Source organism: Homo sapiens, chromosome 11 (assembly GCF_000001405.40).
Source record: "Homo sapiens chromosome 11, GRCh38.p14 Primary Assembly".
Lineage (NCBI taxonomy): Eukaryota > Metazoa > Chordata > Mammalia > Primates > Hominidae > Homo > Homo sapiens.
Genome location: NC_000011.10, coordinates 17754233 through 17769295, shown reverse-complemented (window position 1 = coordinate 17769295; position 15063 = coordinate 17754233). Strand labels below are relative to the sequence as shown.

Below are 15063 nucleotides of genomic sequence, written 5' to 3'. Positions count from 1 at the left end.
CCATTCCTCACAAGGCACCAAGTTCTGCCTGGCACAGAGTTGAATAAGGCCTCATTCCAGCCTCAGGGAGCTCCCTGCCTAGCTCAGGTGAAGGATACATTCAGAGACAAGTACAATGCAGTGGACTGAAAAGCTGAACCCTCAGCCCTATGAACTAGAAGAGGCTGGAAAAAGGTCAGAGTAATGTGGGCGCACTTGAGAGAGGCAGGGTAGAGGCTCAAAGCCATGGCTCCCAGATCCAGAAAGACCAGACCTGGAGCACAACAGAGGTAGACCAGGAAAACAATGTAGAAGCAACGGGAAGAGGCTGCCATGCTGGCTGCAAGTTTAATGAGCTCCAGAGCTCTCTCCATCACCAGAGTTGCCAAGGCTCTTGGAGCTAAAACACACATCCTGGTCTGCTGGGTATCTGGCTTCAGATCCCCCCTAGAAGGCCGCATTCTGGAGCTTGGCGTTCACAGCCCAGAGACTCCCTAAGGGCAGGGCAGGCCCCCCAGCTGCACCCCCTGCCCTGGCCTTTGTATGGGACGAGAGGAACAAGCACACTGTGGATGACCGAACGGTGCCAAGAGGCAGGGCCCACTGCACACTTGGCTCTCAATCCTGGCTGAAGGCTGGAGGCACCTCCCCTCCTCACTGCCCCATCAGCCAGGACATCCCATTCCCAAACCGCCCCCCCCCCCACCAACATCCATTCTCCACTGTACTCCCTGTTCATATGGGACTCTCTCCGGGCAGGGTCACTGCCATCAAAGCAGGTTTAGACTTCAGTCTTGGCTACCAGAGGGTGCTTTCAACTGGAATCCCAGCTCTGCCCATGCAGCCCACAGAGAAAGTCCAAATTCCCCAGCCTGGCACACGAGGCTCTCCACGTCCTGGCCTCATTTGATTTCCCAGGGTCCTCTCCCTGCATGCACCCAACATTCTTGCCATGTGCAGCTCTCTGCCATTTCTGACCACAGAGTGTCTCCCCACCTCCGTGGTTTTGTACCTGCTATTCCTTCTGCTGGAGAGTGCTCCTGCCAGTCTCTGTCTGGAAAAATCCCATTCATCCTTCAGGGCCCTACTAAGTGACCCGTCCCCTGAGGTGAGGTTCCCCTTCACAGCCCTGGCCCACAGGAGACAGCAACTGAAGGGAGTTCCCCAGGAGTCTCTAAATGCACCCCAGGGAGGCAGCAAGCCCATCTCCGACTCCAGCTCTTTAGTGCATGGGGAGGCTCACAGGAACAGCCCAGACAGGGCACTGATGTCCCAGGAGCCTGGTAACTCCCAGGCAACCCCACAGCCCTCAGAGCTCTCATCTCAAGTGCTCCTCTCAGTTCAGATCCTGATTGGAAAACTCAGGCCTTATAAGATTATGGTAAAAAGTCTTTGTTTCTCAGGGACCAATGGACTGCCTGTCTAGATTCTTTCCTCTCTGGGCCCCAGTGCCCAAGGAGTGGAGGATGGGGAGCAGGCAGCAGAAGCCAGGTCCAGGTGCAAAGACACCTTCCCCAGGGAGAGTCAGGAGAGGTGGAGGCCAGGCCTCTCACACTGCTCAGGCTCCCTGGGCGCCTGCCTTCCTGTCCTCTGCTACTGTGAGGCCTGATCTTCCTCTGTTACAGGCAGAGCCCCAGCAACATCAAATCCCAAGGGACGCTTAGAGTGCTGTGGAGGAAGATGCCTCAGCCTGCTCAGATCCCAGTGTCCTCCTAAGTCTAGACCAGTGGGAGGTCAGCCACAGGCACAGCCGGAGCAAGAGCAACGAAGCCCCAGGTCCCTTGTGTCCATTCTCCAGGGCTGGCTGGAGAAAGGAAAGAGCTCCCAAAACTTGAGGACCTACTATGTGCCTTCAGTCCTCACACCAGCTTGGTGAGACGGGGCCATATCCCCATTGCTTCAAGGAGGAAATGCAGGTACAGAAAGGTTCGGGGACTAAGCCAAGGTTTTAAAGCTCGTGATGAGGCTGAGACTTGGATCCAAGTGTTTTTCTTTCTTTTCTTTTCTTTTCTTTTCTTTTTTTTTTTTTTTTGAGACGGAGTCTTGCTCTGTCACACAGGCTGCAGTGCAGTGGCGTGATCTTGGCTCACTGCAACCTCCGCCTCCCGGGTTCCCACCTCAGCCTCCCAAGTAGCTGGGATTATAAGTGTGCACCACCACAGCCGGCTAATTTTTTTTTTTTTTTAAGACAGAGTCTCGTTCTGTTGCTCAGGCTGGAGTGCAATGGCGCAATCTCAGCTCACTGCAACCTCCGCCTCCTGGGTTCAAGCGATTCTCTGCCTCAGCCTCCTGAGTAGCTGGGACTACAGGTGCCACCACCACGCCCGGCTAATTTTTTTTTTTTTTTTTGGTATTTTTTAGTAGAGATGGGGTTTCGCCATGTTGGTCAGGCTGGTCTTGAACTCCTGACCTCAGGTGATCTGCCAGACTCGGCCTCCCAAGTGTATTGAGCTCTAGAACCTAAGCTCTTGCCTCCAGAGTCGCCAAAGCTCCTGGAGTTAAAAACCCAGCCCCACCCACTGCAGAGCGCCCCCTGATTGTGTCTAAATGGCTCTGTCTAGGAGCCTAACAGGCACAGCTCAGAATCCGTAAGAGCAGGTTGTGCCTATCCCCAGTGATAGAGCAAGGCTACCTGGATCCAAATGCTGGAGCCAGCCACATCTGAATGCTTCTTAGGCCTCATTGCCCAGAATCTGCTAGCAACTGGAATAAGAGCAGCCCCATGGGTGGGGACACTGCCCCTGTCTAGCAAGGTATAATGTCAACAGCAGAGGGACCCTCTGCCTGGTAAGCCTCAGAAAAGCCTATGTGACAACCCTGGGCTGTCATCCCCGGGGCTGTAGGGTCACAGGCAAGATTAGGGGACTGCTTCCCACATGAGTGATCTGCTTCCCAATCCAAGCCACCTAGAGACATGGAAGAGTCACCCACAGACCACAAACACACACAGTGACGCAGAGCACATGTCTCATCCATTACCTAAGCACAGACACTGTGCACATGGCACACAAACTACAACAGTGTCCCCACCACACAGTAAACACAGGAGCCCATGGAGCACATGCGGAGACACATCGCCACACACCACCAGAAACACTTGGGTGCTGCACTGCAAGGCGCACACACGCACCACTCGTGCATACACACTCGGCACACACAGATAATGCAGCAGAGGTAACAGCACAGCATACGCACTGTGAGCACATGGAGGCCCTGGCTGTGCCCCGGCAGCTCCCTGCAGACTTCTCTCTCCCGACCCCAGGTGTAACTGACTCAGTGTCTGTCCCCCTCCTGCAGGACAGGCAGCTCCAGCCCACCTTGCCTCTGCCTCCTCCGCCCTCTCTGCTCAGGCTGCCATCTCCCGGATTACCCGACCCTAGGCTGTGCCCATCACCCATGGGCTTCCTGATTTTGTGTGACCTGTCAGACTTTATCTCCCTTCTACACGCCATGCCTGCAGCAGCTGAGTCCCACCACACCCAGGATCCAGGCCTGCTGGGAGGCCAGTCCCTCCTGGGCTGCCGGCCTGACAGGGGGCACAAAGGGAGCTCTGCTGGGCAGCCCTCAGGCAACTGTCACCCAGGCTGGCCATGGCAGTTGCCACCCTGTAGAATTTCGAGACAACACAGGCGAGATCGTCTGACAATGCGGCATAAACCCAAACTGGTAGTTTCTGGCCTTTTTCTCCCCCCAAACCAAATCACAAACCGTGAGAGACCCACCAATTGTGTTCTAGAAAGTGGTCGCCATGGCAACAGAGCAAGGCATCCCATTTCTATGGTAACCAGGGTGGTGAAGCTGTTGGCTGTAAAGTCAGACAAACCTACTAACGATCTGTTGACTTAAGAAAATGTTTTATAAATCACCAAGTTATTTTTACCATAACCCCACCCCTGAAACCACAAATCAGAAAGGCAATTTACTATCTATTAAAATGACCAATATGTGCTATGACTTTCATTTATGAATTATTTATGCCACAGTCATCTTTAGAAAATTGTGCTTGCCTTTCGGATCGGAGCTGTTCGGGGGTTCGCCTTGGGGAGCTGTGTTCATGCAGTCTGGCGTTTCAGGAACAAGGCGATGACTGTAACGTGGTGCAGGGACCAACATTCCAGTGTGGCTGCTCACTTGCTGTGTGACCTTGGCGAGTTGCTTCCCCTCTCTGGGCCTCAGTTTCATCCTGGGTGCAGTGAGGGTTGGATTGGTCCTTTCTGAGGATTCTGAGGCAGGGCAGGGCTGCGGGCAGTGGGGGCATGTGATAGCTAATCAGGGGAGCCCTGGCTGACATCCAGGCCCCAGGCCCCCAGAGGCTTCAGGTCAGTTTTTCCGCCTAATTAAATCTGCCCAGCGGGGGTGTGCAGCCTTTGAGTTAATCCATGCGGAGTCAGTGATGCAGAGCAGGCGGGATGGCCAATTGTCCTAAATAAATTGTCAGTTGAGTTGGGTTTAGAAACTGAATTAGCCTCATCTGGACTTCCGCGGGCCGGGAATGCTCACAGTGTGCTGGGCCGGCTGGGGGATGGGAGGGAGGGCAGGGAGGAAATGGGATGGTTAGGGGTCCAGTCCCTTTTTTGTTCTGTCAATAAATGCCTGCACCATCAGGCAAAGGAGGCCTGGCCCCCGAGCGCAGCGTCTGGGTGCCAGATGCTGCACCGGCGCAAGGGGCAGTGGGCGGGAGGAGCTCCCCAAGGTGCTCCGTGGAGGGTGTGAGCAGAGTGTGTGTGAGCATGTTCCAGGAACACGGCTGTGTGGCAGCCTGCTTGGGGAAGTCTGCACTGGGGGGAGTGTTAGCGGGGTAGGTAGTGTCAGTGTGGGGTAGGTGTGTCATGTCTACATAACCTGACTCTAGGCCTGTGCACAAGTTTTGTGTAAATGGTCGCTACGTGTGCTGTATGTGATTCATGTGTGTGCATGGACAGATATGGGATGTGTTTGTGTGTGTGTGGACATGTATGGGGTGTGTGGGGAACACATATGGAGTGTTTGCATGTGTGTATGGAGACAGGTATGAAGTGGTGTGTGTGAGTGTGTGTATGGAACTTTGTGTGCGGTGGTGTGTGTGTGTGTATGGGACTATGTGTGGTGTGTGATGTGTGGTGTGTATGTGTGTGTCTATGGGGCTATGTGTGGTTTGTGTTGTGTGTGTGTATATAGGGCTATATGTGGTTTGTGGGGGGGTGTGTGTGTGTCTATGGAGACGTGTGGTGGTGTGTGGGGGGCTATGCAAGTGTAGGTGTGTGCATGTGTGGGGTGATGTGTGGGGGTATGTGTGTGTGTGGGCGTGTATATGTGCACGTGTGGGGTGCTGTGTGGGGGTCTGTGTGTGGGTGTGTATATGTGCATGTGTGGGCTGCTGTGTGTGGGTGTGTGTGTGTGTGGGCGTGTATATGTGCATGTGTGGTGTGTGGGGTTTGTGTGTGGGTGTGGGTGTGTACATGTGCATGTGTGGTGGGGTGTGTGTGGAGGTGGATGTGTATATAAGCATGTGTGAGGTGGTGTGTGGGGGTCTGTGTGTGTGTGTATTGTGTGTGTGGGGTGGTGTGGGGGTTTGTGTGTGGGTGTGGGTGTGTATATGAACATGTGTGGGGAGGTGTGTGGGGGTGTGTGTGGGTGAGGGTGTGTATTTGTGCATGTGTGGGGGTCTGTGTGTTATTGCGTGTGGTGTGGTGTGGGGGTGTGTGTGTGTGGGTGTGTATATGTGCATGTGGGGTGGTGTGTGGGGGTCTGTGTGTGTGTGTGTGTATTGCATGTGTGGGGTGGTGTGGGGGTCTGTGTGTGGGTGTGGGTGTGTGCATTGCGTGCGTGGGGAGTGTGTGTGGGGGGCAGTGCATGGGTGTGAGTGTGCATGTGCGTGTCCGGGCCATCTCCCAGGGAACCAGGGTCTGGCTGGGCACTCTGGGCACGTGTTCTCTGAGCCGAGACTCAACCCAGGGCCCTGACCATTTTCTATGCCAGAGATGGTCACTCCTTCATTAGCCCAGGGGTGTGCCCCTTTCCCTGGGACTGTCCTGGACTTGGAGGAAGGTGATAGGCAGGGTGGGGGGCTGAGCCGGCCCAGCTCAGGAGCCCCCTGCATCTCCACAGTGACACTTTCCATCCCAGGATTCAATCTGAGAAGGGGGAGAGCCAGAGCCAGAAAAGGCAGCGTCCCGGCGCAGACGTCCAAAGAGACAACGGCTCACCTCACTGAATTCATTCTCTGGACCCTACACCTGGGTCATATCCAGAAAGAGCCCCCACAACAGCTGGGCTGGCCCATCCCGAGGTGGCAGGGGTTCCTATGGTACTTTCATCCCAAGATGCGTATCTTTTTTTTGGAAGTTGAAACATATAAAATGCACACATCCCGGAATGGTATTTCTTCCTGGATCCGCACATGTCTTACATCGGTGGCACCTTGGGCTTGTGGAAACCTGGTCATTAGAAGACCAGAGCACTGATGGAGGAGGTCCTCGGGGGAGGTTGCAAAAGCTGCCTGGCGGGTGGGAATGGAGAGACGAAGGCGCAGCACGGTGAGGGAGTGGCCCAGGGGTGCAGAGCACTCAGCAGGACCAGAGAGGGGAACCACGTTCTCCAGGAGCATCAGCACTGGGCTCCAGTGTGGCGATTTTCTTATCAAGTCTTGGCTCAGGCAGTATCCCTCCAGCCCTCCAGGCCCCTCTCATCCCTCAGGCCCACCTGCCTTCAAGATCCAGTCAAAGCAGCTGGAGTCTCATCAGAGGAGGTAGTGGCTGGAGCAGAAACGGCAGGACCGTGACGTCACACCCGCCTGCTTTTCAGGCCTGACTCAACCAGGTGACTGTGGTCAAGTCACTGTCCCTTTCTGAGCCTTCATTGTCTGCCTCCCAGTGGTTGTAACAGTGAGTTGAAATAATACACAGAGAGCAAGAAGGAAGTGTTCAGACACACCGCTGAGCCTCCACACAGAGCCTCTCACCTTGAAGCTCCGGTGGACCCTCCCGCCCTGGTCCTCTCCAAAGGTTTAGGATCATGTAGAAAAGCCTAGAATCTTCTAGTCATGGAACGGGAACTGCTGAGCTGGGAGGTGCCTGGGAGTTTGAGGCACAAAACACCACCATTGTCCTTCAGAGACCCGTCTCTTCCCACACTCAGCCCATGCAGTGTGAGTGAGGCTGAGCCTGGCCCAGCAGCAGGTGACCAATATCCAGTGATGGCCAGCCCTTGTCCTGCAGTAAAAGGGGAGAGGGTGTCCCTGAGGAGACGGCCTCAGAGGGATCCCGTGGGATGGGGCCGGAGGAGCTGTCTCTGGATTTAGCAACAAGGAGGCCCTGGTGGGGGCTAAACCCATGCCCCTGGAAGGGTAGAAAGGAGAGCTGGGAGTAAGAACCTTTCCCTGGAGGTGGTTGGTGGGGAACGAAGGAGGCAGGAGTGGGCAGATGCTGGTGTGATGGGCAGGATGGCAGGGGAGGGAGAGTGCTGGGGAGAGTGACTGAAGGGAGATCCAAGCGCAGAGCCCAGAGACTCTGGCTTAGTAGTTACGGGTGGGAACAGAAATTCACCTTTAATTTGTGCCCCAGGAGGCTCTGATGCCACCAGCCAATCCTGGCATTTGGGATCCATGGGGCCAGATAAGACCCACATGCTAGGCAGGTCTGATGCTTAACGGACCACGGTAGGTGCTGGCAAGTAGGCCACATGGTGGAAGGAAAGGAGGCCTGGACTTGGCTCCAGAGACCTGAGTTTGAATCCCAGCTCGGCCACGAACCATATGCCTATGGCCTAGTAACCTCTTGGAGATGCAGTTCCATCATTCTTAAAATAACACACTCCAGGAAGTAAGACAACATTGAGGGGTGTGGAAGAAAAGGCCAGGTGCCTAGGACTTCCCCAGATCCAGGGCAAAACCCCAAGACTGCTGGCTCCCTTGCACACTGGCATTCCGGGAGCTGGCCGAGGCGGCCCTGCACAAACAACAAACATCCAAACACAGAATTTTGTTTTTCACAAATTACCAAGAGGTGAGGGAGGTGGGAAGGTGAGCAGAGCAATAGTTAAAGGGAGAAATGTGTTAAGTTTTAGGCCTTTCTCTCTAATTCTTTCTGCTTCTGCTACCACTTGCCTGTTAAGGGACCAGGAGCCAAGGACAGCCTGGTGGGAACCGCCAGTGCAGCACACAGCCAGCTTCCTGTGGACGAGTCCAGGTGTGTCCAAGATCCAGCCCTGTGGCCTCCAGTCAGTGAGAGACATGGTCCTCGAGGTGAGGGGGACTTCCTGTCCCCATGCTTGCAGGGTTTTCCACGTGGACCCCTGCCTGTCTTGGGTGTCGGGAGGGAAAGGACACCCAAGGTCGCACGATGAGTGGGGCTCAAGCCAGAGCTGCCGACTTTCCCGCCTAACTCTGGTAACAAGAAAAGAGATGACAACAGCTTCCTGAGTCTTGGGCAGGCCCTGCTTCCGGGGCTTCCCATGCACTGTCCCGTTTAAACCTCGTGCCAGCCCAGTGCGGTGTTATCATGTCACTCTCTAGATGAGGAGCTGCCATTCAGAGGGAAAGAATCTTGCCTGAGGTCTCAGCACTGGATCAGTCTCACTGTCCTCGGGAACAACGGACTTCATTGCCTTCCATAAGCCCCCTAAGCAGCAGGCAGCGCGTGCAGAGGTCCCACCATGCGAGGTGGCATGGAGGTGCCCTTGTAGCCGGATCTGGCGACTCTGACCTTTCTTGGCCACCAGCAGGTACAGAGGGCCCTAGGGGAGGCCTTAGGGAGTGTGGTGTGCTGTCCCACAGTGCCCCCTGCAGTCCCACAGGCCAGGAAACCTGAATGTTAGTCCCCAGAAGGACCAATCAGGAGCCCATATCGCACCTGCTCCTGTGGACTGAGCCTTCCTCCTGGAGAGCAGATGGTAAATAAATACGGAGGCTAACGGGGGTCTCCTCTCACCCTCTCCCATTAGCATCTTAGACTTGGAGCAATACCAGGATCCCACGTGGGAAATTCCTCTTGTGTTTCAGGGCTTAGAACAAGCAGGTGTCTCCTAGTACGCCTGTCTACATTTCTGTTAGTAAATGATGAGTCATAAAACCCTTCACATTTTCTCTTTTGCTCTGACTGCCAGGGAGCTCGGCTAAATTTAGTGCTCAATTCTAGGCGAATCCTTTACCTGGGTTTGGGGTATAGCTATTTCTTTTCTTCATTATACTACATGTATTTTTTCTTCTTTATTTTTAAGGGTTCTGTGGTAGGTGTGTCTTAGGTGCCTCAAACATTTTTTTGGGAAAGCCACAGATTGGAATAAGAAATACGTGAATAAGATTCCCAGATTAGGCAGTGAGTAGGAAGGCGCTCCATATAGGATATGCAGACATGCCTCGTTCGACTGCGTTTTGCTTTATTGCATTTCACAGATATTGCAATTTTTTTTCCAATTCAAGTTTGTGGCAACCCGTGCTATTTTTCCAACAGCATATGCTCACTTTTTGTCTCTGTGTCATATTTTGGTTATTCTAGCAATATTTCAAATTGTCATTATTATTATATCTGTTATGGTGACCTGTGATCATTGATCTCTGATGCTACTATTGTAATTGTTTTGGGGAACCACAAATCACACCCGTATAAGATGGCAAACTTAATTGATAAATGTTATCTGAGTTCTGACTGGCTGTTCTCCCATCTCTCTCTCTCCTCAGGCATCTCTATTCCCTGAGACACAACAATATTGAAATTAGGCAAATTAATAACCCTACAATGGTCTCTAGGTGGTCTAGTGAAAGGAAGAGTTTCATGCCTCTCACTTTAAATCAAAAGCTAGAAATGATTACGCTTAGTGAGGAAGGCATGTCGAAAGCTGAGATAGGCCAAAAGCTAGGCCTCTTGCACCAAACAGTCAGCCAAGTCTGAATAATGCAAAGGAAAAGTTCTAAAAGGAAATTGAAAGTGCTACTCCAGTAGACACATGAGTGATAAGAAAGCAAAACAGCCTTACTACTGATAGAAAGTTTGAGTGTTCTGGATAGAAGATGAAACACAGCCACAACATTCCCTTAAGCCAAAGCCTAATCTAGAGCAAGGCTCTAACTCTCTTGAATTCTAGGAAGGCTAAGAAAGGTGAGAAAGCTGCAGAAGAAAAGTTTAAAGCTAGCAGAAGTTGGTTCATCAGGTTTAAGGAAAGTAGCTCTCTCCATAACATAAAAGTGCAAGGAGAAGCAGCAAATGCTGATAGAGAAGGAAAAGCTGTAGCAAGTTATCCAGAAGATCTAGCTAAGATCACTGATGAAAGTGGCTACACCAAACAAAAGATTTTTCAATGCAGATTAAACGGCCTTCTATTGGAATAAGATGCCATTGAGGGTTTTCATAGCTAGAGAGAAGAAGTCAATGCCTGGCTTCAAAGCTTCAAAGGACAGGCTGACTCTCTGGTTAAGGGCTAATGCAGCTGGTGACTTTAAGTTGAAGCCAATACTCACTTACCACTCTGTGAGTCCCAGTGCCCTTAAGAATCAGACTAAATCTACTCTGCCTGTGCTCTAGAAATGGAACAACAAAGCCTGGATGATAGCACATCTATTTATAGCATGGTTTACTGAATATTTTAAACCCACTGTTGAGACCTACTGCTCAGAAAAAATGATTCCTTTCAAAATATTATTGCTCATTGACAATGCACCTGGTCACCCAAGAGCTCTGATAGAGATGTACAAGGAGATGAATGTTGTTCTCCTGCCAGCTAACTCAGCACCCATTCTGAAGCCCATGGACCAAGGAGTCATTTTTACTTTCAAGTCATATTCTTTAAGAAATACATTTCATAAGGCTGTAGCTTCCATAGATACTGATTCCTCTGATCAATCTGTGCAAAGTCAATTGAAACCTTCTGGAAAGAATTTACCATTCTAGATGTCACTAAGAACACTTGTGATTCATCGGAGGAGGTCAAAACAGCAACATTAACAGGAGTTCAAAAGGAGTTGATTCCAATTCTCGTGAATGACTTTAATGGGTTCAAGACTCCAGTGGAGGAAGTCACTGCAGATGTGATGAAAATAGCAAGAGAGCTAGAATTAGAAGTAGAGCCTGAAGATGTGACTGAATTGCTGCAATCTCATGATCAAACTTGAACAGATGAGGAGTTGCTTCTTATGGATAAGCAAAGAAAGTGGTTTCTTGAGATGGAATCTATTCCTGGTGAAGATGCTATAAACATTGTTGAAATGACAACAAAGGATTTAGAATATTCCATAAACTCAGCTGATAAAGCAGCAGCAGGGTTTGAGAGGATTGACTTCAGTTTTGAAAGAAGTTCTACTGTGGATGGAATGCTGTCAAACAGCATCACATGCTACAGAGAAATCTTTTGTGAAAGGGAGAGTCAATTGATGCAGCAAACTTCTTTGTTGTCTTACTTTACAAAATTGCTATGTCCACCCCAACCTTCAGCAATCACCACGCTGATCAATCGGCAGCCATCAACACTGAGGCAAGACCCTCTATCAGCAAAAAGATTATGACTCACTGAAGGCTCATATGATTGTTAGCATTTTGAAGCAATAACGTATTTAAAAATTAAGATATGTACATTTTTAGACATAATGCTATTGCACAATTAATAATGTACAGTATAGTATAAATATAACTTTTATATGCTCTGAGAAACCAAAAAATATGTGACTTGCTTTATTGTGATATTCACTTTATTGCTGTGGTCTGGAACCAAGCCCACAATATCACCGAGGTATGCCTGTATAGGCCTCTCAAGGGGGCAGTTCAATGATCTCATCTGCAGTGACCCTGAGACAGATGTCTGTGTTGGTCACCACCAGTGATGGGAAGTTCACGAGGCCATTCATTCCGTCTTTGAACCAGTCTAAGAGACATGCATTTATTTCTCATGTAAGTCAACCTCCTGTCTCATTTTCCCAGCAATCACAGGTCTGCCCTCTGGGGTCATCAGAAGACACCTGCTCCTCTTCCTCCCTGTGATGGTCCTGCCTATACCTGCAGATAAGACTCAGGACATGCCCCTGAGACATCCCTCCTGCAGGCCAGGCTTCCTCGGGCTTCCTTCATGCTCTCTTCCTTGCACCATCTCCCCTGACCTGCTTCAGAGTCTGCTTTTGTTCATCACTCACTGTGTGTGGCTAAATGGATGGCACATTTTACCCTTTTTAATCCTCATAACCACCTTGGCCATAGGAATATTTACCTTTGTTGAGCTTCTCTGTCCTCTGCTATACAGTAATAATAGCATGCTCACCAGAGGTCAAGCACTTTACAAACATTATCTCATTTATCTTTAAAAGCCTCTCCGAAGGAGGCATCATTACCTCCATTTTGCAGATTAAAAAACTGAGGTTCAGAGTGGTTAAGACGTGCAAAAATCCCCCACATAGCTGGAAAGTGTTAGGTGGGCTTTGAAACCAGGTCTCTCTGACTCCAAAACCACTATGCTCTATTACTTCCACTTATAAATCTTTCTCACATCACCCCCAGGTAGTCCTGGGAGAAAGCTGTTTATCTTCCCATTATGATGACAATAGGCACAGCCTTCTTCAGTATATAGCACATCTTCATGTTTTGGATCTTATATGTACAACACACACACCCCCGCCCCCCAACTGGGCCATCAGCAGGACAGTCTTGATGGCTTCCATTTGGTAGATGAGAAAACTGAGGCTCCAACCTCCATGGAGGAGCTAGGAATGGAGTCCACTTGGAATTCACTAGGAAATTTCCCTCCTGTGCCCACTTGTGTGTTTGTATCGAGTCAGGGGTCCTGACTCCCAATGTACATGCGTGTGTGTGTGTGTGTGTGTGTGTGTGTGTGTGTGTGTTTGGAGGGAAGGGAATAAAAATGGCTCAGGGAGGGTAATGGACAAAACCCAGGTGGGACCACAGTTGACTGCCCACCTGTGTCCCTCTAACAAATATTTACATCTTATTCCAGGCCTATACAGGGTACTGGGTATAGGGTGAGCAAAAACAGCCACAGCTTCTTGGGGGAGGAGTAGGAGAGGGGGACATTGACATTTATCAATTAACCATACAAGCAAATATGTACCTATGTGAGCTGACAGGGGCATCAAGGGGAATGCACAGGCATTTGGTAAGCCTTTAACAACAAGTCTTGAGGTTAGAGTGGCTTCCAGGAGAAAGTGACAACTGTGCAGAGGTTGGAAGGATGGATAAGAATCAACTAGGGAAATGCAAGGTGCAAGGAAGCACATTCTAGGCAGAGAGAAGGGGAGCGCTGCTCAGGCCTCATGTTCCTGACTCACCAGCAGCATCTGATGCCACTGATCCCTCCCTCCTTCTTCTTGCACTTCCTGGGACCGCATAGCCTCTGGATTTTCTTCCTACCTCTCTGGCTGCTCCTTCTTGGAGTCCTTTGCCAACTCTTCTCCCCAGTCTCTATCGGGGCACCCTGGAGCTCAGTCCTTGCTCCTCTTCTTCATCTACACTCACATCCTTAGTGGTTAACCCAGTTTTATGACTTAAAGGCCACCATCATTCAAATACCCATAAACAGCACACTCTCAAAGGCTTATCTCCAGCCCAGCCCTTCCCCTGAACTCAGGACTCCAGCATCCAACTCCCTGGCATCTCCAGATGGAATTCTACCAGCTCTTTCAAACTCAACACGTCAACTGAACTCCTGTGCCACCCCCACCCCCTGCAGCCTCTCCATCTCATGAGAGAGTGTCTCCATCCTTCCAGGACATTCTTGCCAAAAACCTTGGAGTCATCCTTGACACATCTCTTTCTGTCACATCTCACATTTAATCTGTAAGGAAATCCTCGTGGCTCTGCTTGAAAAATAGACCCAGCATCTGAGCCCTTCCCATCACTGCTGTGACCACCCATGTCCCAGCCATCATCCTTTCCCCCCGGGTCATGGTAATAGACCAGTCTCTTAACTGGTCTCCCAGGTTCCAACATTCCTGGTGCGCTAGGACTGTTTTCAACACAGCTTTTAAAACATGAATCGAACTGTGTCATTTCTCTGCTCAGAATCCTGCACTGGCGCCCTATTTCTCTCAGAGGAGGAGCAAAGGTCTTCTCAATGGCTTGCAGATCCGACTTGATCTGGTCATCCATTATCTCCCCAAACTCCTCCCTGCTACCATCATCTTCACATCTGCCTCCTCAAACATGTTCCTCAAATATGCCAGACACACGCCTGCCTCCATGCTCTTGCACTGGCTGTTCCTTCTGCCTAGAACGCCTTTCCCCAGGTACGCCTATGGCTTACCCCTTCACTGCCTCATGGCACCCCAAGAGGGTGCTTCTGACCACCCTATTTCAAGTCTCAACCAACACCTCCAGTAAGGAAAATCTGGTTTTCCTTACTCTGCTGTTCCCCCCAGCACAGATCATCTAAGATGCCAACTTTCCTCAGCTTTATCAAGGTATAATTTACCTATAAGAAAATAAGAAAATTGAGGTTTAGAGTGGTTAAGATGTGCGAGAAAATCCCACGTAACTCAGAAGTGGCAGCAGGATTTGAAATCAGGTCTCTGTTGTAAGTATCCAGTTGGCTGCGTGTTGGCATTGACACTGTCTAATTTACTTAGTGTTCATGTTTGTTGTTTGACTCTCTTCCCCCTCTAGAATGTAAGGTCCATGAGGTGGCTGAATCTGAGGGTCAGGGTGGCCCTGCCTCAAAGACCCAGCCAAACACTCCAACTAGTAGGGGAAAGGAGGCTCCTTCCTCCAGGAAATGGGGAGCACAAGCATAGGTTTCCTCTGTGGAAAGAAGGTCGTGGACATGGGTCCTATGTCCACTTGCCTCACTCCCTCTAGTTGCATAATGGGCACAATGGTTTACTCCCTGCAGCCTCCTTCAGAAGTGAGCCCCCGGCGGCTGGTGCTTGCTGCCCCTTGTCAATATGGGCAGTCACTGATTCAATGATACCACATCTGCGTCTACCCTGGCAATGTACACAATCGTTGATTTCAGAGTTGCATTTACATGGGCACTGACCACAGTAACGGAAGCGCTACACTGGTAAAAAGATAATCTCCATACACCAATCTGTGACTCAACCAGCCATAGACATGATCACTGATCTTTCAGCTATGCTCTCATTGGCAATGGGCATCCTTGATCTTTGCACAGAGT

At 50.6% G+C, this 15063-nt stretch overlaps 1 protein-coding gene across 4 annotated transcripts in view, besides 3 other annotated features; it reads right to left on the bottom strand.

The window, feature by feature from the left end:
* The window catches only part of KCNC1 (potassium voltage-gated channel subfamily C member 1), a 48277-nt gene that overhangs the window by 13762 nt on the left and 19452 nt on the right, over positions 1–15063 (bottom strand). The window lies entirely within an intron of this gene.
* Positions 2813–3312: an enhancer, noted in NCBI's record as "H3K4me1 hESC enhancer chr11:17787531-17788030 (GRCh37/hg19 assembly coordinates)". NCBI's record gives its function as "activates a minimal SCP1, AML or CMV promoter by ChIP-STARR-seq in naive H9 embryonic stem cells {active_cell/tissue: H9 hESC(naive)}" and the evidence as "EXISTENCE:reporter gene assay evidence [ECO:0000049][PMID:30033119]".
* Positions 3313–3814: an enhancer, noted in NCBI's record as "H3K4me1 hESC enhancer chr11:17787029-17787530 (GRCh37/hg19 assembly coordinates)". NCBI's record gives its function as "activates a minimal SCP1, AML or CMV promoter by ChIP-STARR-seq in primed H9 embryonic stem cells {active_cell/tissue: H9 hESC(primed)}" and the evidence as "EXISTENCE:reporter gene assay evidence [ECO:0000049][PMID:30033119]".
* Positions 8217–8718: an enhancer, noted in NCBI's record as "H3K4me1 hESC enhancer chr11:17782125-17782626 (GRCh37/hg19 assembly coordinates)". NCBI's record gives its function as "activates a minimal SCP1, AML or CMV promoter by ChIP-STARR-seq in primed H9 embryonic stem cells {active_cell/tissue: H9 hESC(primed)}" and the evidence as "EXISTENCE:reporter gene assay evidence [ECO:0000049][PMID:30033119]".